This window comes from Homo sapiens, chromosome 9, assembly GCF_000001405.40.
Source record: "Homo sapiens chromosome 9, GRCh38.p14 Primary Assembly".
NCBI lineage: Eukaryota > Metazoa > Chordata > Mammalia > Primates > Hominidae > Homo > Homo sapiens.
Genome location: NC_000009.12, coordinates 3,615,024 through 3,639,741, shown reverse-complemented (window position 1 = coordinate 3,639,741; position 24,718 = coordinate 3,615,024). Strand labels below are relative to the sequence as shown.

The window sequence follows — 24,718 nt, the reverse complement described above, 5'->3', positions numbered from 1 at the left end:
CTTTAATGTACTGATTTCAATTTTTTGGATATATATCCAGTAGTGGGTTTAGGTAATTCTATTTATAATTTTTTGAGAGACTTCCAAACTGTTTTCCATAATGGCTGCACTAATTTACATTCCCCCGAACAGTGTACAAAGGTTCCCTATTCTGCACATCCTTATCAACACTTGTCTTTCATCTTTCTGATAGTAGCTGTTCTGATAGGTGTGAGGGGATATCTCTGCGATTTTAATTTGCATTTCTCTGATGATTAATGACATTGAGCTTTTTTGCATATACCTGTTTGCCATATGTATGGTTTTTTTAAATGTTTATTCAGATCCTTTGCCCATTTTTAAATTGGGTTATTTGTTTTCTTGCTATTGAATTGTTTGCATTCTTGAGTCCCTTATATATTTTTGATATTAATCCCTTATCAATTGTATGGTTTGCAAATACTTTTTCCTATTACATAGGTTGTCTCTTCACCATTGCCTTATTTCTGCATTCAAAGCACGTTCTAGTTCAAACACTGGCCTCTTGCAGCTGTCAGTTTCTGCTTAGTCAGACATAGATGTAACAAACTCACCTTGTACTTGCTTTGAGTCTCACTGCATTCCCACCCATCATGGGTCCAGAGAAATTCTGTGCTTATGGGGCATACTGAACATTATGTGGGAGTGGGGTGGCAAAAATGGCAGCACACATGCTTATTGCCATATCCTGTGTTCAGGCTCCATCATCTTATTGCACTTCATTTAAAAAATATAAATTCAAAGAAAAAAGTAACAATTTCAAGACAGTAAGAGTAGAATATTAAACCAAGTGCAGGACCTTTCTGATAATGTGTTCTGTGCAACTATGTAGGTTGCACATCCACAAAGACAGCCTTGTAGGGTATGAGGAGGAATAGAAGTTACAGTAATTCTCTTTGACTTCACCATTCATTTATACAGCACCTGGGAAAGCACTTCCGGACTTAAGCCTCATGAGAAAGATGCTCCTAACTTATGCTTTCTCCCTCACTACCTTATAAACAGCCCTCACCCTTCTCTCTCTTTGTTCAAACCTCCATAATCAAACCTTCAAGTTCCTCAGTGACTCCACCTTCCCTCCTGGGAAGTTCTGAGAGAGATGTGTTCCCCTCTTTGCCAGGACTTACGGAATCTCTTATCTGTCCATTCAAGAAAAAGAGAAAGAGTTGGGATGTGGACACTCATCCCATAATCAAGGATGAAGATGACTATGAATGCTCCAATTTCAGGTCAGTTTCCCCATCACAGAGAGATGCAAAATACTTCTCCTATTCACTTAAGAAAGGTAACCATATCACCAAGACAAACATTTCATTATTTTCTAAGAGAATATTGCCTACAGTCATATTGAGGAAATGTTCTTCTATTTAGTGACTTTAGTCTTTCCCCTTTTGAATAATAGACCCTTCAATTATTTTGTTAAGCATTATGTAGTTCTTAACATTGGCTTGCTTTACCAGAAAAAAACCATGTTGGTTGAAAGTGGCTCTCTCCAGTGAAGAGGCAGAGTGTATATTTGGCCCTTTCTTCTCAGACATACAGGCCCTTCGCCACCTCTGGTCACTTGACCTTGGACTGTAAGCATATTTCCCTTTTCAATGGGCATCTAATGGTCAGAAAACTTATGCTCCCATTATCTGATAATAGCTTAATGAATCTCATTTCTAGAATTTTTATCTTAAGAGGAGACTTTTATAAGTGAAAGAAGGAGGAGGGGGAGGAAGGGAAGGAGGAGAAGGAAATGATGGAGGAGAAAAATCATTTTTAATATCAAAAGTTTTATATGTAACAGAGGATGCAAAGGCAAAGGATCACCCTGCTAGTTATTAAGCTTGTTTTATATGGAGAAACAGTTAACCTTATGAAAATAGAAAGAAAACTATACTGAGAGTTACATACTCCAGGGTAATAGTGGGGCTTTGCTGAACTCCTTCGACAAACACTCTACTAATTCAAAACAATTGTGTTTCCTGGAAACAAAAAAAGCTTCACAGCTCTTTTTCATTCAGTTAAGTAAAGGGAAAAAAAAGCTCATATTCAATAAATATCCTAGCACCATACTAAAAATGATTTCATGGTAGTGAGGTTGGGAAGCTAGAATATTATAGGATAAACCTTATAGACCACTTCCTTCATACTGTTTTAAATGTTAAAGATAAATTAAATCAAATTAAAGAAGGCTAGAATGAGATATCAGGAAAACTTGATGTGTTTCCCTCTGACCCTTAAATAACATCTTTTATTGAATTATCACCTACCGGGAAAAAAGTCTCACAAAGCCTTCTGGTTCCTGCACACCTCTCCAACATTCTTCTTTCCTACTCTCTGCTTCACAATTTTTTCTCCAATAACATGAATTGTTTACAATATCCCTTTATACCAGGCTGTGTCTTCATACCTTTGTTCATACTATCTTCCCTTTGTGAATTTTTTCAACTCCTCCCCAACCAGCCTTTAGCTAGCTAATGCCTATTCATCCTCAGCTCAAATATCATGATCTCCAGGGAAACTTTCCCTTCATTCATCTCCAACCTGAAGTTGACTTAAGTATCCCTTCTAGATATTTCCAAAAGACCCCATTCACATCTCCATCGCTGTACTTAACTCAGAAAAGTTCCTTGTGCTATGTACCACCTGTGTCACTTTACTATGAACTCCTTGAAAGCAAGGACAAAGTGTTATTATTATTATTTTTTAATTCTCCAAACCGCAATAGGCAGTCAGTAGATGTTCATTAAATGAATGAATAAATGATTCATTGAGTCTAACAAGCTGAAAAGAAAACTATAATTTGGAGAGGCAAAATGGCTTTCCTAAGACCTCATCACTAGTTTAAGACTTGTATCCAGGTCTCCTGAGCTCAAGTCATTTCTCCATAAACAATAACTTAGAAATCCCTAATAATAGAAAAAAAATGGTGGTTAATTTGGTTTAAAAAAAAAAGAAAGTCAAAGAAAAAGGACTGAGACTGAAATCACTAAGGCGTGTGGATATGTTTTCACTTTAAGAAAATTAAGTGGTTTTCTGAATTTAGATGCCATTCCACCCCTTTAAAGATAAAATGCCGAACTTACCATACTTATTGCTCAGATTTGTACTTGGTAAATTTATTTATAAGATTAAAGATGTAAACTGGCTCATTAAAGAGTGTCAAAAACTTGTCAAACATCAAATACCTGTTACATAACAACATTTTGAAGTCTACGTTATTATATACAGATTGCATTTCCACTTTAAAAAAATTTCACATCCTAAAATTTCAGGGAAAATCACCACTTAGGTTTTTCCAAACTCCAAACAACCTGAAAGTGTTCAGAGCCGTTTGAGAATTCTACAAACTGGCTGGAGATAGTCTATACACAAAATATTGTTATTCTCACTCAAAATTATTACTGTAGGCAGGGTGCAGTGGCTCACGCCTGTAATCCCAGCATTTTGGGAGGCCAAGGTGGGCGGATCACCTGAGGTCAGGAGTTTGAGACCAACCTGGCCAATATGGTGAAACCCCATCTGTACTAAAAATACAAAAATTAGCCAGGCGTGATGGCGGGTGCTTGTAATCCCAGCTACTGGGGAGGCTGAGGCAGGAGAATCGCTTGAACCCAGGAGGCAGAGGTTGCAGTGAGCTGAGATTGTGCCACTGAACTCCAGCCTGGGTGACAGAGACTCCATCTCAAAAAAAAAAAAATTATTGTAATTTCAGCAAGGGGGAAATCAAATGAGAAAAGATGTGGATTCTTTTATTTCTCAACTGTTTAAAAGCCAAGTATTGTATGAAAAACTATTCTGAAAAAAAAATTTTCCTGCTTCATTCAACCCCCAGAAAGTTTTTTGATGACGCCTTGTTGATTACCCACCCAATATTTATTTCCCTCTTCCCAAGAGCACCCCATTTTCATTTATACATCCACGGCTCCCTTACCAGAAGCTATGTGTCTTAGGAGTAATCTTATTCCTTTGCTAATGATTGGTTCAGGAATGAGGAATAAGACACAGTACTGGCTAGTGACGTCAAGGAAAACTTGTTGAGAGTTTCTGGAAAATGTTTCTTTACCTTTAAGTGAGAGCTGTTGGAAGAAGTTACGCACCAGTGAAGCTGGGACTGCCATTTTGTGAAGCCAACAGAGGAGAACAGAGCCTAAGAACCAGCTTTGGGAAAGAAAGCTAGTGCTTGCCAGACTAAGCCAACTCTGAAGTCTGTTCTACTTCTAGACTCAGTGTTGAGTCAATACACTTCATTATTGTTTAAATTTCTTGAGTTTCTGTACTTGCAGTGGAAGGAATCTTGTTTAATATGCAACAAAAATAGTGATTTCATTAATATATCCAGTGTAAAACTCCAAGAAATTTTTTGCTTTAAAGTTCTGCTGCAGAGTGGCACAGCAGAAGCAGGCAGGTCCATAAAGTTATTCAGCTTCTATTTTTCAGTTCTTGGGCTACTGGGGGGTTTGGAGGGACATCAAATATTTTAAACTTACTCTCCATCACTTTACCTCTCAGATAGATAACTGTCTATGTGTTCAGTTTAATGGATGTTCTCATAAAATTCTGATATTATCACCTCCTGCATTTGAGGACCATGATTCCACTAGCTAGTAGTGAATATATTCACCCTACACAGAGTAGATTGTGTGGTTCTGATTAGCTCCTCGGGGCCTTCAGTTATTCAGGTACCTCAATAAATGTTGTGTATTCTCAAGGAATGTCAATGTACTATGAAAATCCCAGAAACTTTATCCTATGTTCTTGGGGTTATTCCACTTAAGTGGGTGCTTTTTGGGACCGCACAGGTCCTAAACACTCGAAAGATTTAATGTTAATGAGTTACTTAAAGAATTTGTTATGGAATTAAAAAACAGATACAGTGCTATCTATAGTTACCAGATTAAGAAAATTACTTATTTAGTCCTATTCTTTTGATTAAAAGATATTTCACCAAGAAGCTGGCTAAATATAACACTTTTAGTCAAATTAATTTTGAGGTATTGGAGGGAGTATAAATGATACAATGTTTATTCTGATATTTTATATGAACACGATAATAATTATTATAATTGCTCAAATTTATTTTATATACTGTGAGCTAAGCATTATACTCAAGTATTTTGCTGTGTTATCTCATTTAACCTTTACAACAACCCTTTGAAATAGGTTCTGGTATTTTCTTCACTTTGCAGATAAGAAAATTAAGGTTTAAATAAGTTTCAGCAATATTCCTGAGATCTCCAGAGCCTATGTTCTTAACATCGATTCTAAATAGTCAACAGACTATATTCTAAACAGCTAACCATGTTATTGAACTTCCAAAAAGGCAGTGTAGTCTTCAATTGCCTTTATAATTGAACATTATTAAGAATCTTTAAAATGGCCAGGTCAGAAATTTTACCTCAGGTAAGTAAGATTGTATCTGAGGCATACTGCCAAATAGCAGGCTTCACAATTCAGGGAGGACAATAGCGAACAAGAGTTCAACCATGGGAACACATCAAATATGGTGGGAGTCTGAAAAACATCTCATACAGATTGGGCAAACTATTTTGCCAGGTTGACTATTAATTTTCTTAATGATACTTAGAGAAACAATACATGTGCATTGTAGAAAAATAAAAAATATAGACAAAAGAAAAAAAGAATGTCACATACCACCATCCAGAGATTGCCATTGTTAACACCTTAGTGCATATCTTTCGAATTGTGTGTGTGTGTGCCTGTTGTTTAATCTTTTAACAGTCTTTTTTTAAAAATGAATTTTGAAAACCAAAGGCCAGTTGGTCCCTGGAATATTCTATCTTTTAAGAATTTGTTCAATTGTGTCCTGTTACTTCATCTCCTGTGGAAGTGATTTTAAAGGCTTGATGAATTCAGGTGAAACACTGTGAAAAGAATATCATAGATGATATTGTGTACTTCATGTTTTATCACATCAGAAGACACAGAATTTCTAGTACATTTACCATTAATTTGATAAGATTGACATTCTCTGGAGTAACGACAATCTGAACCTGCTATTGTGTAATTTTATTTTATCTCTTGTGATTAGAAATTATTCTGTGTAATATCAGCTGGGCACAAAATGAAGGTCCAGTGTCCCAACATCCATTTACCTAAGGATTTTAACCTTGATAAATCTTGTCTGAATCAATAAGTTAAATAGAATTTGTGAAATGCTATTGTCCTAATTCTGTCATTTCTCCCACATTAATTAATTGGCATTTAAAGTAGAGCTTTCCCTCATCAACTGTTTTGAGCCTCACTTACCTCCTTGTGTGATTATGAAGTTATCTAGATGATGTCTATAAACTTTTAAATCCTAGAAGTATTCAAAGGAACACATAAAGTTACTAGATATGTTCATAATGCCCAGAAAGAAGAATACATAACTCTTTATACATTTAAATCTAGTCCTCTGGAAAATGAAGTAGATTTATTATGCATTGTTCCAGAGGGAAGTTTTGGGAAGGCAACTATTAACGCAATACAGGGAATAAGTTTCTTGTAATTAAAGACACCCATTAACGAAAGGTTTTTCTCACAAAGTAATAAGGAAATATTTGCCTCTAGAAATATCAGAGGCTGAAACTGTCATGGTTATTAGTCTTTAAGTCTATCCTCCTCAATTGAAATGTTAGAATAATAAGAAAATATAAAGATCTTCGGTAGAATGGCAAAGTCAACAGAAATAGTGCCTGATCTTATAACATCTCAGAAAGCATACTAGTAAGTAAAAAAAAAAAAAAAATCCTAATAAATCTCAGTAATATAGCCAAATTCCAAGAGATGCAAACTGAGTGGGGGTCCTTACCTTTGCAATCTTCATATTGGGATCGATAGAAATACCTTCTGGGGGAAAGGGAGAAGTAAATATGGGTCTGATTCTCTGTGAGGGAAGTAAAGGTTTTAGGACTAGTCACTGAATTGTGGACTTCAGCTTTTTTCCTCCACCCAGGAACAGTTTACATCACCCAGTTAGGTGGATTGAATCCTGGTATAGCATATTTAACAAAATATTAGAATAGTTCTGATAAAGAAGTATACCATTGGAACATCTCTTACTGCTCATCCCTGCTTCCTATTTCTTTTATTTCTATCCCTGTGCTCAGTCCCATTCCTTTAGGTAGAAAATAACCAATCCTAAAACTGAAGACTAAAACAGTGTTGGATATGGTACAAAGATAAGCCATGTGTCTTTTGAAGTATATCAGAACAAAAAGAATACCTGCCTTGAGAATCATGCAGCCATCCTCCACACCCACAGCCACTAACTTCGTTAGTAAAAAAGCAAAGCGCTAAAACAGAACACATGTTCCAAGTTCAAATATTGATAAGAATGACAACTTGGATTTAGTCCAAAGTGACTTTCACTTTGTAAATTACCAAACCAGCAAAATTATATGAGATGAAGCATGCAAGTTAGTAGATGCCTCTCTGGTACCTCCTAATATTTTTTATGGCAGTACACCTGAAGTTTATTGATGAGTGTGGCTCCAAATGAAATAAAATCTTCCAGGCTGGTAGACGTGGACCCACCAGTTGGTATCTTTTATGCTACTGGGGCTGGTTAGGAGGCACATTATTTTCATATGGGAAAATCTGTGCTTTGGGAGGCCAAGGTGGGTGGATCACCTGAGGTCAGGAGTTTGAGACCAGCCTAGCCAACATGGCGAAACCCCGTCTTTACTAAAAATACAAAAAAAATTGCTGGGCATGGTGGCAGGCACCTGTAATCCCAGCTACTTGGGAGGCTGAGGCAGGAGAATTGCTTGATCCTGGGAGGTGGAAGTTGCAGTGAGCTGAGATCACGCCACTGCACTCCAGCCTGGGCAACAGGTGAGACTCTGTCTCAAAAAAAAAAAATAAATAAATAAAAATAAAAATAAAAAAAAGAAAAGAAAAAAGAAAAAGAAAATCTGTACTGTGCCAGAGCATATATGCTTCCATATCCTAGCTCTTATTATATCATTGAGTCTGCTTGAGTTTTTAGTACAGTAGGTCTGGCTGTGACCTGCCACCTTGCCAAAGAGGGAAAAGAGAACTCTATTTAGAGGAAAACATAACTCAGTGGACCAAGAAAAAGACTGGCTATGATTACTAATGAATGGGTTGACAATAACTTAAAATTCATGGGTACAGGATATGTATTCCTTGACTTTGATTCCAAACAATAAAAACGTTTCTTAATTCACATAACAAGAAGTCCAGAGATGAATGGGCTTCATAACTGGTTGAGTCAGCAACTCAATCATGTCACCAAGGATTCAGGTTCTTTCCATGTCTCAGCTTTGCTTCACTGCTTGTCATAAAATTGTTATCTGCTAGATAACTGCCAGCAGAAAGGGGAGAATTTTTTTCCTTTGTTCAGTTTAATAGGAAAGAGAAAAATAATCCCCCCACATCAGTGATGAAATGTAAACCCTTCTCTTGAATCTAATTGTATCCCTTTACTTTTTTTAAGAGACGGGGTCTCACTATGTTGACCAGGCTGGACCCCAATTCCTGGGCTCAAGCAATCCACCCACCTCAACCTCCCAAGTAGCTGGGACTATAGGCACACATCAGTTTGCCCAGGCTCTCCTTTTACTATTGTACTTTCTTCTTTCTTTTTTCCACATGCTAAACAGAGTAAACAAGACCTGCCTCCTCCCCTCTCATCCTATTTCTAGGCAGCTATTTAGTTGCTGACCTAATGACCCTCTTATTTACCTCAGATCTGCATTACGGTAGCAGTTGATTATTATTTGATTCCCCATTTTCTACTGCTCCTTATTGTTAGAGATACATCATGAACCCTGTGGGGATAAGTGGCAGGGAAGAATTTGAACAGTCTATTGTCATAGCACCAATGTTATCAAACTAGCAATAAATCCTACCTCAATTCCTATGTGGTTTTAATTCTCTCTCATTCTTGCATATTTCTACTTCCAATAATACCATACCATTTTAGTGTGCACTTTCTTAATTAATTGTGTTGCTCTGTAATAAATCTGTGCTTATTTATGTAGTATATTGATACCGAACCATTTCATGAAATGCCATGATTCCTCCTGCCTGGGAGAGTTGGGCCAAACTTCATAGGTAAAGGGCACAGTCCTCCACAAGCATGCCTTCACTTTATACACCAGCCACAAGTCTGGGGTCCCCAGTTGTTGCAGTCCATTTTGTGCTGCTCTAACAAAATATCTGAGACTAGGTAATTTATAAAAAATAGATATTTATTTTCACTGGGCTCCAGGAATTTCAACTTCAAGGCTTGGGCTGTTTGGTTGTCTGGTATGGGCTACTCTTCTGCTTTCAAGATGGCATCTTGTTGCTACATCCTCTGGAGGGGAGGAACACTGTCCTCACATGGCAGAGGTGAATGGGCAAACCAACTGAACAATGAGTGAAGTTGCTTTTACAGGGGCCTTAATCGCATTCACAAGGGAGGAACCCTCGTGGCCTAATCACCTCTTAAAGACTCTACCTATTAATACTATCACATCACATTGCCAACACCTGAGTTTTGGAGGGGACACATTCAAACCATAGCACCAAGCCTCCTTTACTTCTGATCAGTTGGCTACAAAGTCAGGGGTTCCCACTACCCCCTCAGTTTTGATAATTCACTAGAAAAACTCACAGAACCCCAGAAGGCGCTATACTTGTGAGGACAATTGTGTTATAGCAAAAAGATACACATCAGAACCAACGAAAGGGAGAGTCATATAGAGTCACATAGAGCAAGGTATGAAAAGGTCCAAACACACAACTTCCATCATCTTCAGGGATGCATTACCCTCGCAGCCAGTTTATACCTGACAATACACAGAGTACTGTCATCAGGAAATCTCATTTGAGCCTTTGGTGTCCAGAGTTTTACTGGAGCTTGAGCATGTACTGCTCATGAGGCTGATCTTTAGGCTCCAGCCCATCCTGGAGGCTTAGGCTAATGCCTTTAGCCTCTAGTTCCTCTGGATGTTAGAGCTGAGGTAGTATGTTCCAAAATCTTCATCATAAATCACACTGTCGGACTGTTCACTGGTAAAAGCTCCCAGGCAAACAAAAACATTCACATCAAGCAGGACATTCCTGGGGCCTAGAGATCTCCTCCCAGTAGCCAAAAGCAAAAGCCAGAGCTCTCTTTGGGTAAAGTTAATTCTTCACTATACAAATCCAAGCCCTTTTACAGAATGTGCATTTATAATTTTTAGTCAGCACTCTAAGTAAACAATTTTTATCCCTAATCCTGTGTAGAATTTTTAAATCAATTAATGCTACATTAGTGATTTTTAAAGTTTAAGAAATGCATGAATTGAAGTACGTCTTCCTCTTCATGACAAAGATGACATAATGTTTAGTAAGAAATAAAGGAATATTTTAGGCTGGCAGTATTGGCAGTGAATCTCCCTGAATCATTAATAAAACAGAAAGAACAAGTAGGATAATGAAAGCAAAAACTCAAGCACAATATCTACAACTAAACTAGGCAATAAAATATTCTCAAGAACCTAAAATATAAACAAGTGGTGACAAATAGCCCATTTTATAAGATCCATCAGTGTCTGTGCAAGAGAAAGCTGAGGAAAGGCAACAAGATGGCCCTGAGAATAGAAGAACCTCAAAATCACCAACAGGTACTCACTGGAAATTGCCAGGGGACAATCTGAGAACAGAATCTAAAATGTACACTTTTAGAGTCCAGTTCACAGGGACAGGATAAGACAGTTATCGTAAGTTCTGAACTGTTAGGATTGTATGGCCCTAAGGACTTTAAAAACTATGACATCTGAGGCTCCTATTGGGACAAGGTCACACTTAGCAGAAACTGCTTGGAATATAACCCACATTGGGCAAGACAGGGACAGTAGTGGGTGGGGAAAAGAGAAGATCTGGATAAAATGGGAAGGAGGACAGGAGGCAGCAGACTTTGAAAAGTAAGAGAATATATATTTTATCACTTCCAGAAAAAATAGCAAAGACAGTCCTAGATCACACCAGCAAAAATGTTAACCTAATCCATTCCTACATTCAGAATGTATAGAAAAACTATTTTTACTTAAATTAAGCAATGGAGAAGGATCGTAATTGAATCCACACAATTTTATTATAAGACAAAATAAAATAAAGAGAAAAATAATAGCTGCAGAAGTGGCTGAAATATGAAGCATGGGGAAAAGGAGAGAACTGTAAAAAGAAGAAAATCTAGAAATCTGAATTTGGTTCCCTTGAGTCTTTGGCCAAAGATTAAGCAATGCAAGTACAAAATAAGGCAGTGGAAGGCCAAGAAAAACTATGAGTTGAAAGGGGATTCCAGAGCTTGCACAGGGCTTGGAAATGTTGGGTTTCTGCCTAGCTCAAGTGAGACACTTAAATAAACCTGCAGACATGCAATTGACACACAAGAAAGGCCAAATCTAATAAGTAGGCTATTCCAGCCCCAGACTAGACCTGCCATATTAAAGCTTATAAATAGTCCTCTAAAGGATCAAGTGGATGCACAAGTAAATTAACTACCTGCCATAACAAAGTTCAATCCTCTTTACAAAAGAGAACAAAATTGATGGCATTCAATACAAAATTACTACATATATAAATAAGCAGGAAAAGGTGGCCTACAATACAGAGGAAAATCTATCCATAATAATGAGACTTACAAATCACAGAAATTATGTATTAGAATGTAGCATTAAGGCATGTATGTTTAAGAATACAAAGTAAAACATAAACATAATGAAAGGAACCACTAGGAAATCTCAATAGAGAAATGGAAACTATCTAGAACAAACAAATGAAGACTTCGGAATGGAAAAATACAATATCTGAAATTAAAAATTCACTGGATGGGCTTGAAAGCAGACTAGACACCAAAGAAGAAAATATCATGGGACTTTAAGACAGATTAATAAAAAAAGTCCAATCTGAAGACAAGACAGAAAGACAATTGATGAAAAATAAATAGAAGCTCAGAAACCTGTAGAACAGTAGCAAATGGTTTAATGCGTAAGAGAAGAGAGCTCAGATATAGATCCACACTTAAAGAGTTAACTGATTTTCTCCAAGGGTAGCAAAGCAATTCAATAGGAGAAAGAATAGTCTTTTCAACAAACAGTGCTAAAGCAATTGAATACCTCTATGGAAAAAAAAAATCAATCTTCATCCATATTTTTCCTTTTTACAAGAAAAAGATCAAAATAGATAATAATCTGAAATGTAAGTTATAAGACTAGAAGAAGACAGGAAAAAAATAAGTTTAACCTCGAGATAGGCCAAGATTTTTTCACAGGACAGAAAAAGGACTAGCCAAGAAACAAACAAACAAAAACATAAAACCTGATAAGTTTGGACTTCATCAAAATAAAAATCTCTGTTCAACAAAAAACACACTAAGAAAATTAGTGGGTCAGGGCCAAGACGGCCGATTAGATGCAACTGCGGTCCAAGGCACTTACAGAGAGGAATGAAAGGAGCAAGTGAATTCAGTCAGCACCTTCAACTGAAATATCCAGGTTCTTGCACTGGGACTGACTAGGCAAACAACCCACGAAGAACGAAGAAAAGCAGGGTGGGGCAACAGATAGCCTACTTGGGAGCAGCACAGAGGCAAAGGAACCCCCACCCCAGCCAGGTAGTGACTGTATGAAGCAGTAAGTGATTGTATGACCCTGCCCAGGAAATCATGCTTCTCCCGTGGATCCTTGCAACCTGTGGATCAGGAAATCCCCTCACGAGCCCATGCCCTCAGGGCCTTGGGTCTGATAAACAGAGCTGTGTGGAGTCTAGGCAGAGCAGCTGCTCAGGCACACAGAGAGACCCAGGAATTTTACATATTTCAGCCCCAGGATCCCCAGCAAGGTGGGAGATCTGTCTGTTCATATCCCTAGGAAGAGGGCTGAATCTAGGGAGCCAATCAGCATTGTTCTGTGGGTCCCACTTTCACAGCACCTCACAAATTAAGACCCACTGGCTTGGAATTCCAGCCAGCCAGTGGCACAGGCTGGAGTCTGACTGACGCAGGACCAAGTTCCCAGGGGAGGGGTGACTGCCATCTCTGTAGGTCAGTAGACTCAGCCATTTCAGCCTGCCAGCACTGGAGAATCCTAGCTGTCCAGACGAGGAAGGGTCCCCCACAACACAGCACAATTGCCTTGTCAGCTGTTAGCCAGACTGTTTCTTTAAGCAGGGCCCTGATCCATTCCTCCTTACTTGGAGGGACCTCCCTGCAAGGGCTTCAGCCACTTCAGCCAGGGTTATACAGACAGCTCTGATTTCTCCTTGGGATGGAGCTCATGGGGTAAGGGGTGGCTGCCATCTCTGTAGTTTGGTAGACTCAGCAGTTCCAGCCTGCTAGCTGTGGAGAACCCAAATGGTCTGGATGAGTAAGGGTCCCCCTCAGTGCAGCACACCTGCTCTACCAAAAAGCAGCCAGACTGATTCTTTAAGCATGTTCCTGATCCTGTTCCTCCTGACTGGGTGAGACCTCCCAATAGGTGTCTCCAGCCACCTACTACGGGCATGCTCAAACCAGCAATAGGTCAGCACCCTCCCAGGATGGAGCTTCCAGAGGAAGGAGCAGGCTGCCATCTTTGCTGTTTCATAGCCTTCACTGGTGATACCTCCAGGTATGGGGAAAACCAAGGCAACTAGGGTCTGGAGCAGACCGCCAGCAAACCACAGCAGCCCTGCGGAAGAGTGGCCTGACTATTAAAAGAAAAACAAACAAAATCCCAGCAATATCCACAAAGAAAGATCCCACAAAATCCCATTCAAAGGTCAGCAACCTCAAATATCAAAAGTAGATAAGCCCACAAACATGAGAAAGAATCAACCAAAAAAATGCTGAAAACTCAAAAAACCAGAGCTCCTCTTCTCCTCTAAATGACCACAACACCTTTCCAACAAGGGCGCAGAACTGGGCTGAGGCCGAGATGACTTATTGACAGAAGTAAGCCTCAGAAGGTGAGTAATAATGAACTTCGCTGAGAGCTAAAGGAGCATGTTCTAACCCAATGCAAAGAAGCCAAAAATCACAGAAAACAATACATGAACAAATAGCCAGAACAGCCAGTTTAGAGAGGAATGTAACCAACTTGATGGAGCTGAAAAACACAACATGAGTACAATGCAATCACAAGTATCAATAGCAGAATAGACTAAGCATAGGAAAGAATATCAGAGCTGGAAGACTACCTTTCTGAAATAAGACAGGCAGACAAGAATAGGGAAAAATGAATGAAAAGGAATGAACAAAACCTGCAAGAAATATGGGATTATGTGAAGAGAATGAACCTACAATTGACTGGGGTACCTGAAAGAGATGAGGAGAATGGAACCAAGTTGGAAAACATACCTCAGGATATTAACCAGGAGAACTTCCCCAACCTAGCAAGACAGGCCAACATTCAGATACAGGAAATGCAGATAACCCCAATAAGATACTCCACAAGAAAATCAACTCAAGACACATAATCATCAGATTCTCCAAGGTCGAAATAAAAGAAAAAATGTTAAGGGCAGCCAGAGAGAAAGGCCAGATCACCTACCAAGGGAAGTCCATCAGACTAGCAGCAGACATCTCAGTGGAAACCCTACAAGTCAGAAGAGATTAGGAGCCAATATTCAACATTCTTAAAGAAAATAATTTTCAACTCAGAATTTTATATCTAGCCAAACTAAGCCTCCTAAGCAAAGAAATAAGATCCTTTTCAGACAAGCAAATGCTGAGGGAATTTGTCACCAACAGCCCTGCCTTGCAAAAGCTCCTGGAGGAAGCACAAAATATGAAAAGGAAAACCTGTTACCAGCCACTATAAAAACACACTGAAGTACACAGATCAGTGACACTATGAAGCAACTACATTAGCAAGTGTGCAAAATAACCAGCTAACACCATGATGACAGATCAAATTCACACATAACAATACTAACCTTGGTTTCCTGGGCAAGATGGCCTAATAGCAACAGCTCCTGTCTGCAGCTCCCAGCAAGACCAACACAGAAGGCAAGTGATTTCTGCATTTCCAACTGAGGTACCCGGTTCATCTCATTGGGGCTGGTTAGACAGGTGGTACAGCCCACAGAGGGCGAGCAGAAGCAGGGTGAGGTGTCGCCTCACCCGGGAAGTGCAAGAGGTCGAGGAAATCCTATCCCTAGCCAAGGGAAGCTGTGAGGAACTGTGCAGTGAGGAATGGTGCTATCCGGCCCAGATACTACACTTTTCCCACAGTCTTCACAACCTGCAGACCAGGAGATTCCCTCAGGTGCCTACACCACAAAGGCCCTGGGTTTCAAGCATAAAACTAGGTGGCTGTTTGGGCAGACACCAAGTTAACCACAGGAGTTTTTTTGTTTGTTTGTTTGTTTGTTTTTTCATATTCCAGTGGCTCCTGGAACACCAGCAAGATAGACCCTTACCAGTGGAAAGGAGGCTGAAGGCAGGGAGCCAAGTGGTCTTGCTCAGCAGATCCCACTCTGACAGAGCCCAGCAAGCTAAAATCCACTGGCTTGAAATTCTCGCTGCCAGCACAGCAGTCTGAAGTGGACCTGGGATGCTCGAGCTCGGTGGGAGTAGGGGCATCTACCATTACTGAGGCTTGAGTAGGCGGTCTTCCCCTCATAGTGTAAACAAAACCACCTGGAAGTTTGGACTGGGCAGAGCCCACCACAGCTCAGCAAAGCCACTATAGCCAGACTGCCTCTCTAGATTCCTCCTCTCTGGGCAGGGCATCTCTGAAAGAAAGGCAGCAGCTCCAGTCAGAGCATATAGTCGAAACTCTCATCTCCCTGAGACAGAGCACCTGGGGGAAGGGGCAGCTGTGGGTGCAGCTTCAGCAGATTTAAACATTCCTGCCTGCCAGCTCTGAAGAGAGCAATGGATATCCCAGCACAGCGCTTGAGCTCTGCTAAGGAACAGACTGCCTCCTCAAGTGAGTCCCTGACCCCAGTGCCTCCTGACAAGGAGACACCTCCCAGCAGGGGTCAACAGACACCCCATACAGGAGAGATCCAGCTGGCATCTGGCAGGCGTCCCTCTGGAACGAAGCTTCCAGAGGAAGGAGCAGGCAGGAATCTTTGCTGTTCTGCAGCCTCTGCTGGTGATACCCAGGTAAACAAGATCTGGAGTGGACCCCCAGAAAACTCCAGCAGACCTGCAGAAGAGGGGCCTGACTGTTAGAAGAAAAACTAACAAACAGAAAGAAATAGCATCAACATCAACAAAAAGGATGACCACGCAAAAACTCCATCTGAAGGTCACCAAAAGCAAAGACCAAAGGTAGATAAATCCAAGAAGATGAGGAAAAACCAGCACAAACAGGCTGAAAATTCCAAAAAACAGAATGCCTCTTCTCCTCCAAAGGATCACAACTCCTTGCCAGCAAGGGTACGAAATTGGATGGAGAATGAGTTTGATCAATTGTCAGAAGTAGGCTTCAGAAGGTGGGCAATAACAAACTCCTCCAAGCTAAAGGAGCATGTTCTAACCCAATGCAAGGAAGCTAAGAACTTTGATGAAAGGTTAGAGGAATTGCTAACTAGAATAACCAGTTTAGAGAAGAAAATAAATGACCAGATGGAGTTGAAAAACACAGCATGAGAACTTCGTGAAGCATACATGATTATCAATAGCTGAATTATCAAGTGGAAGAAATGACACCAGAGATTGAAGATCAACTTAATGAAATACAGTGTGGAGACAAGATTAGAGAAAAAAGAACAAAAAGGAATGAACATAGCCTCCAAGAAATATGGGACTATCTGAAAAGACCAAACCTACATTTGATTGGTTTAACTGAAAGTGACAGGGAGAATGGAACCATGTTGGAAAACACACTTCAGGTATTATCCAGGAGAAATTCCCCAACCTAGCAAGACAGGCCAACATTCAAGTTCAGGAAATACAGAGAACACCACAGAGATATTCTTCGAGAAGAGCAACCCCAAGACACATAATCATCAGATTCACCAAGGTTGAAATGAAGGAAAAAATGTTAAGGGCAGACAGAGAGAATGGTTGGGTTACCCACAAAAGGAAGCACATCAGACTAAGAGCGGATCTCTCTGCAGAAATGCTAAGCTAGAAGAGAGTGGGAGACAATATTCAACATTCTTAAAGAAAGGAATTTTCAACCCAGAATTTCATATGTAGCCAAACTTAGCTTCATAAGTGTAGGAGAAATAAAATCCTTTCCAGACAAACAAATGCTGAGGAATTTTGTCACCACCAGGCCTGGCTTACAAGAGCTCCTGAAGGAGGCATTAAATATGGAAAGGAAAAACTGGTACTAGCACTGAAAAAACAAACCAAAATGTAAAGAATATCAACACTATGAAGAAACTGCAACAACTAATGGGCAAAATAATGAGCTAGCATTATAATGACAGGATCAGATTCACACATAACAATATTACCCTTAAATGTAAACGGGCTAAATCCCCCAATTAAAAGACACACACTGGAAAATTGGATAAAGAGTCAAGACCCATCAGTGTGCTGTATTCGGGAGACCCACCCATCTCACGTGCAAAGACACACATAGGCTCAAAATAAAGGGATGGAGGAATATTTGCCAAGCAAATGGAAAGCAAAAAGAAACAGGGATTGCAATCCTAGCCTCTGATAAAACAGACTTTAAACCAACAAAGATCAAAAAAGACAAAGAAGGGCATTACATAATGGTAAAGGGATCAATGCAACAAGAAGCAGTAACTATCCTAAATATATATGCACCCAATACAGGAGCACCCAGATTCATAAACCAAGTTCTTAGAGACCTACAAAGAGACTTAGACTCCTACACAATAATAGTGGGAGACTTTAACACCCCACTGTCAATATTAGACAGATCATCAAGACAGAAAATTAATAAGGATATTCAGGACTTGAACTCAGCCCTGGGCCAAGTGGACCTAATAGACATCTACAGAACTCCCCACCCCAAATCAACAGAATATACATTCTTCTCAGCAGCAAATACCACTTATTCTAAAATCAGCCACATAATTGGAAGTAAAACACTCCTCACCAAACGCAAAGGAACAGAAATCATAACAGTCTCTCAGACCACAGTGCAATCAAATTAGAACTCAGGATTAAGAAACTCATTCTAAACTGCACAACTACATGGAAACTGAACAACCTGCTCCTGAATGACTACTGGGTAAATAACGAAATTAAGGCAGAAATAAATAAGTTCTTTGAAACCAATGACAACAAAGACACAATGTACCAGAATCTCTGGGACACAGCTAAAGCAGTGTTTAGAGGGAATTTTATAGCGCTAAATGCCCATAGGAGAAAGTAGGAAAGATCTAAAATAGACACCCTAACATCACAATTTAAAGAACAAGAGAAGCAAGAGCAAACAAATTCAAAAGGTAGCAGAAGACAAGAAATAACTAAGATCAGAGCAGAACTGAAGTAGGTAGAAACACAAAAAACACTTCAAAAAAATCAATGAATCCAGAAACTGTTTTTTTTTTGAAAAGGTTAACAAAATTGATAGACCACTAGCCAGACTAATAAAGAAGAAAAGAGAGAAGAATAAAATAGATGCAATAAAAAATGGTAAAGGGGAGATCACCACTGATCCCACAGAAAAACAAACTACCATCAGAGAATACCATAAACACCTCTATGCAAATAAACTAGGAAATCTTGAAGAAATGGATAAACTCCTGGACAAATACACCCTCTCAAGACTAAACCAGGAAGAAGTAAAATCCCTGAATAGACCAATAACAAGATCTGAAATTGAGGCAGGATAGCTTACCAACCAAAAAAAGCCCATGACCAGACAGATTCACAGCCAAATTCTACCAGAGATACAAAGAGGAGCTGGTACCATTCCTTCTGAAACTATTCCAAACATTAGAAATAGAGGGACTCTTCCATAACTCCTTTTATGAGGCCAGCATCATCCTGATACCAAAACCTGGCAGAGACACAACAAAAAAGAAAATTTCAGGCCAATATCCCTGATGAACATTGATGTGAAAATCCTCAAAAAAAATACTGGCAAACCGAATCCAGCCGTACATCAAAAAGCTCATCCACCACAATCAACTCAGCTTCATCTCTGGGATGCAAGGCTGGTTCAACATATGCAAATCAACAAATGTAATCCATCACATAAACAGAACCAATGACAAAAACCATGTGATTATCTCAATAGATGCAGAAAAGGCTTTAGATAAAATTCAACAGCACTTCATGCTAAAAACTCTCAATAAACTAGGTATTGATGGAACATATCTCAAAATAATAAAGAGCTGTTTATGACAAACCCACAGCCAATATCATACAGAATGGGCAAAAACTGGAAGCATTTCCTTTGAAAACCGGCACAAGACAAGGATGCCTCTCTCACCACTCCTATTCAACACAGTATTGGAAGTTCTGGCCAGGGCAGTCAGGCAAGAGGAAGAAATAAAGCATATTCAGATAAAAAGCTAGGAAGTCAAATTATCTCTGTTTGTAGATGATATGATTGTATATTTAGAAAACCCCATTGTCTCAGCCTGAAAATCTCTTAAGCTGACAAGGAACTTCAAAAAAGTCTCAGGATACAAAATCAATGTGCAAAAATCACAAGTATTCCTCTACATCAATAATAGACAGAGAGCCGAATCATGAGCAAAATCGCATTCACAATTGCTACAAAGAGAATAAAATACCTATGAACACAACTTACAAGGGATGTGAAAAACCTCTTCAAGGAGAACTACAAACCACTGCTCAAGGAAATAAGAGAGGACACAAACAAACGGAAAAACATTCCATGCTCATGGATAGGAAGAATCAATATCACGAAAATGGCCATACTGACCAAAGTAATTTATAGATTCAATGCTATTCCTATCAAGCTACCATTGACTTTCTTTACAGAATTAGAAAAATCTACTTTAAATTTCATATGGAAACAAAAAAGAGCCTGTATAGCCAAGACAATCTTAAGCAAAAAGAACAAAGCTGAAGGCATCATGCTACCTGACTTCAAACTATACTACAAGGCTACAGTAACCAAAACAGCAAGGTACTTGTACCAAAACAGATATATAGACCAATGCAACAGAACAGAGGCCTCAGAAATAACACCACACATCTACAACAATCTGATCTTTGATAAACCTGACAGAAACAAGCCATGGTAATATGATTCCCTATTTAATAAGTGGTGTTGGGAAAAGTAGCTAGCCATATGCAGAAAACTGAAACTGGGCCCCTTCCTTACACCTTATACAAAAATTAACTCAAAGTGGATTAAAGATTTAAACATAAGACCTAAAACCATAGAAATCCTAGAAGAAAACCTAGGCAATACCAATCAGGACATAGGCATGGGCAAATGCTTCATGACCAAAACATCAAAACCAATGGTAACAAAAGCCAAAATTTACAAATGGTATGTAAGTAAAGTAAAGAACTTCTGCACAGCAAAAGAAACTATCACCAGAGTGAATAGGCAACCTGCAGAATGGGAGAAAATTTTTGCAATCTATCCATCTGACAAAGGCCTAATATATAGAATCTACAAGGAACTTCAACAGATTTACAAGAAAAAAAAAAACCCATCAAAAATTGGGCAAAGGATATGAACAGACACTTCTCAAAAGGCATTTATGCTGCCATACGCCGGCAACATACATATGAAAAAAAGCTCATCATCACTGGTCATTAGAGAAATGCAAATCAAAACCACAATCAGATATTATCTCACGTCTGTTAGAATGGCAATCATTAACAAGTCAGGAAACAAGAGATGCTGGTGAGGATGTGGAGAAATAGGAATGCTTTTACACTGTTGGTGAGAATGTAAATTAGTTCAACCATTGTGGAAGACAATGTGGCAATTCCTCAAGGACCTAGAACTAGAAATACCATTTGACCCAGCAATCCCATTACTGGGTATATACCCAAAGGATTATAAATCATTTTACTATAAAAACACATGCACACGTATGTTTATTGCAGCATTATATGCAATAGCAAAGACTTGGAACCAACCCAAATGCCCATTAATGTTAGACTGGATAAAGAAAATGTGGCACATATACACGATGGAATACTATGCAGCCATAAAAAAGAATGAGTTCATCTCCTTTACAGGGACATGGATGAAGCTGGAAACCGTCATTCTCAACAAACTAACACAGGAAGAGAAAACCAAACACTGCATGTTCTCACTCATCAGTGGGAGTTGAACAATGAGAACATATGGGCATAGGGAGGGCAACATCACTCACTGGGGCCTTTCAGGGGATGGGGGCAAGAGGAGGGATAGCATTAGGAGAAATACCTAATGTAGATGACAGATTGATGGGTGCAGCAAACCATCATGGCACATGTATACCTATGTAACAAACCTTCATGTTCAGTCCATGTATCCCAGAACTTAAAGTATATATATATATGTGCTAACCTTTAATGTAAATGGGCTAAATGCCCCAAATAAAAGACACAGAATGGAACATTGGATAAAGAGTGAAGACCCTTTGGTATGCTGCCTTCAAGAGATCCATCTAACATGCAAAGACAAACATTAGGATCAAAATAAAGGAATGGAGGAAAATTTACCAAGCAAATGAAAAACAGAAAAAAGCAGATGTTGCAATCCTGATTTCTGACAAAACAGACTTTAAACCAACACAGATTTAAAAAAAAAAAAAAAGACAAAGAAGGATATTACATAATGATTAAGGGCTCAATTCAACAGGTAGAGCTAACTATCCTAAATATATATGCACCCAATACAAGAGCACCCATATTCATAAAGCAAGTTGTTAGAGACCTATAAAGAGACTTAGACTCTCACACAATAATAGTGGGAGACTTTAACACCCCATTAACAATATTAGACTATCAAGACAGAAAATTAACAAAGATATACAGGGCCTGAATTCAGCTCTGGATCAAGTGCACCTAGTAGATATCTACAGAACTGTGTACCTCAAAACAACAGAGAATATACATTCTTCTCATTGCCATGCAGCACTTATTCTAAAATTGATTACATAATTTGAAGTAAAACTCTTTTCAGCAAATGTAAAAGAAAAAACTGAAATCATAACAGTCTGTCAGACCACAGCACAAACAAATTAGAACTCAAGATTAAGAAATTCACTCAAAACTGGCTGGGCGCGGTGGCTCATGCCTGTAATCCCAGCACTTTGGGAGGCCGAGGCAGGCAGATCACGAGGTCAGGAGTTCAAGACCAGCTGGCCAATATGGTGAAACCCCATCTCTACTAATAAAATACAAAAAATTACCCGGGTGCGGTGGCACACGCCTGTAGTCCCAGCTACTCAGGAAGCTGAGGCAGGAGAATTGCTTGAACCTGGGAGGCGGAGGTTACAGTGAGCTATGATCATGACACTGCACTCCAGCCTGGGTGACAGAGTGAGAGTTTGTCTCAAAAAAAAAAAAAGAAAAAAAAGGAATTCATTCAAAACCACACAACTACATGGAAATTGAACAGCCTGCTCTAGAATGGTTCTTGGGTAAATAATGAAATTAAGGCAGAAATCAAAAAGTTCTTTGAAACTAATGAGAACAAAGAGATAACATATTAGAATTCCTGGGATGCAGCTAAAGCAGCATTAAGAGGGAAATTTATAGCACTAAATGCCCACATCGAAAAGATAGAAAGATCTCAAGTTGACAACTTAACATCACAACTAACAGAACCAGAGAACCAAGAGGAAACAACTCCCACAGCTAACAGTAGACAAGAAATTACCAAGATCAGAGCTGAACTGAAGGAGATGACATGAAAAACCCTTCAAAAAACCAACAAACCCAGGAGCTTGTTTTTTCAAAAAATTAATAAAATAGATAGACCACTAGCTATACTAATTAAAAGAAACACTATCAGAAATAAGAAGGATATCACCACTGATATCATGGAAATACAAACAACCATCAGAGAATATTATAAACACCTCTATGCACATAAACTAGAAAATTGAGAAGAAATGGATAAATTCCTGGACCCATACACCCTCCCAAGGCTGAACCAGGAAGAAACTGAATCCCTGAATAGACCAATAATGAGTTCTGAAATAGAGGCAGTAATAAATAGCCTATCAACCAAAAAAAGCCCAGGACCAGAGGTCCTGGCTGAATTCTACCAGAGGTACAAAGAAGAACCGATAACATTTCTACTGAAACTATTTCAAACAATTGAAAAGGAGGAACTCCTCCTTAACTCATTCTATGAGGCCAGCATCGTCCTTATACCAAAACCTGGCAGAAATACAACAAAAAAAGAAAACTTCAAGCCAATAACTTTGATGAACATCAATGTAATAATCCTCAATAAAATACTGTCAAACTGAATCCAGCAGCACATCAAAAGCTTATCAAACGTGATCAAATTGGTTTCATCTTGGGATGCAATGTTGGTTCAACATATGCAAACCAATAAATGTGATTCATCACATAAACAGAACTAAAGACAAAAACCACATGATTATCTCAAAAGATGCAGAAAAGGCCTTTGATAACATTCAACATCCCTTCATGTGAAAAACTTTCAATAAACTAGGTATTGAAAGAACATACCTCAAAATAGTAAGAGTCATACGTGACAAACTCACAGCCAATATCATAGTCAGTGGGCAAAAGCTGGAAGCATTCCCCTTGAAAACTGGCACAAGACAAGAATGCCCTGTCTCACCAGTCCTATTCAACACAGTATTGGAAGTTCTGGCCAGGGCAATAAGGCAAGAGAAAGAAATAAGGTGTATTCAAATAGGCAGAGAGGAAGTCAAATTTTCTTTGTTTGCAGATGACTTGATTCTATATCTAGAAAACCTCATCATCTGAGCCCAAAAGCTTCTTAAGTTAATAAGCAACTTCAGCAGTCTCAGGATCCAAAATCAATGTGCAAAATTTGCTAGCATTCCTATACACCAACAACAGGCCATCAGAGAGCCAAATCTTGAATGAACTCCCATTCACAATTGCTACAAAGGAATAAAATACCTCTGAATACAGGTAATAAGGGAAGTGAAGGGCCTCTTCCAGGAGAACTACCAACGACTACACAAAGAAATTAGAGAGGACACAAACAAACGGGAAAACATTCCATGCTCATGGGTAGAAAGAACCAATATTGTGAAAATGGCCATATTGCCCAAAGTAATTTATATATTCAATGCTATTCCCATTTAGCTACCATTGAAATTCTTCACAGAATTAGAAAAAGAAAACTATTTTAGAATTCATATGGAACCAAAAAAGAGCCCAAATAGCCAAGACAATCCTAAGCAAAAAGAACAAAGCTGGAGACATCACACTGCCCAATTTCAAACTATACTACAAGGCTACAGAAAGCAAAACAACATCGTACTTGTACACATAGACCAATGGAACAGAATAGAGAACTCAGAAATAAGACCACATACCTCCAATCATCTGATATTCAACAAACCTGACAAAAACAAACAATGGGGAAAGGATTCCCTATATAATAAATGGTGCTGTGAGAACTGGCTAGCCATATGCAAAATATTAAAACTGGACCCGTTCCTTACACCATATAAAAAAATAACTCAAGATGAATTAAAGATTTAAATGTAAAACCCAAAACTATAAAAACCTTAGAAGGAAATCTAGGCAATACCATTCAGGCCATAGGCACGTGCAAAAATTTCATGATGAAAATGCTAAAAGCAATTGTAACAAAAGCAAAAATTGACAAATAGGTTCTAATTAAACTAAAGAGGT

At 38.9% G+C, this 24,718-nt stretch overlaps 1 long non-coding RNA gene across 1 annotated transcript in view; it reads right to left on the bottom strand.

Annotated features, from left to right (window-relative positions):
• Positions 1 to 299: 299 nt before the first annotated feature.
• The window catches only part of LOC124902110 (uncharacterized), a 112,958-nt gene continuing 88,539 nt past the window's right edge, over positions 300 to 24,718 (bottom strand). The window contains exons 7-8 of the long non-coding RNA XR_007061398.1: positions 6,277 to 8,804; positions 300 to 5,891 (exon numbers count right to left, since the gene is read on the bottom strand). This is a non-coding gene — a long non-coding RNA (uncharacterized LOC124902110). The remainder of the gene's footprint in view (positions 5,892 to 6,276; positions 8,805 to 24,718) is intronic.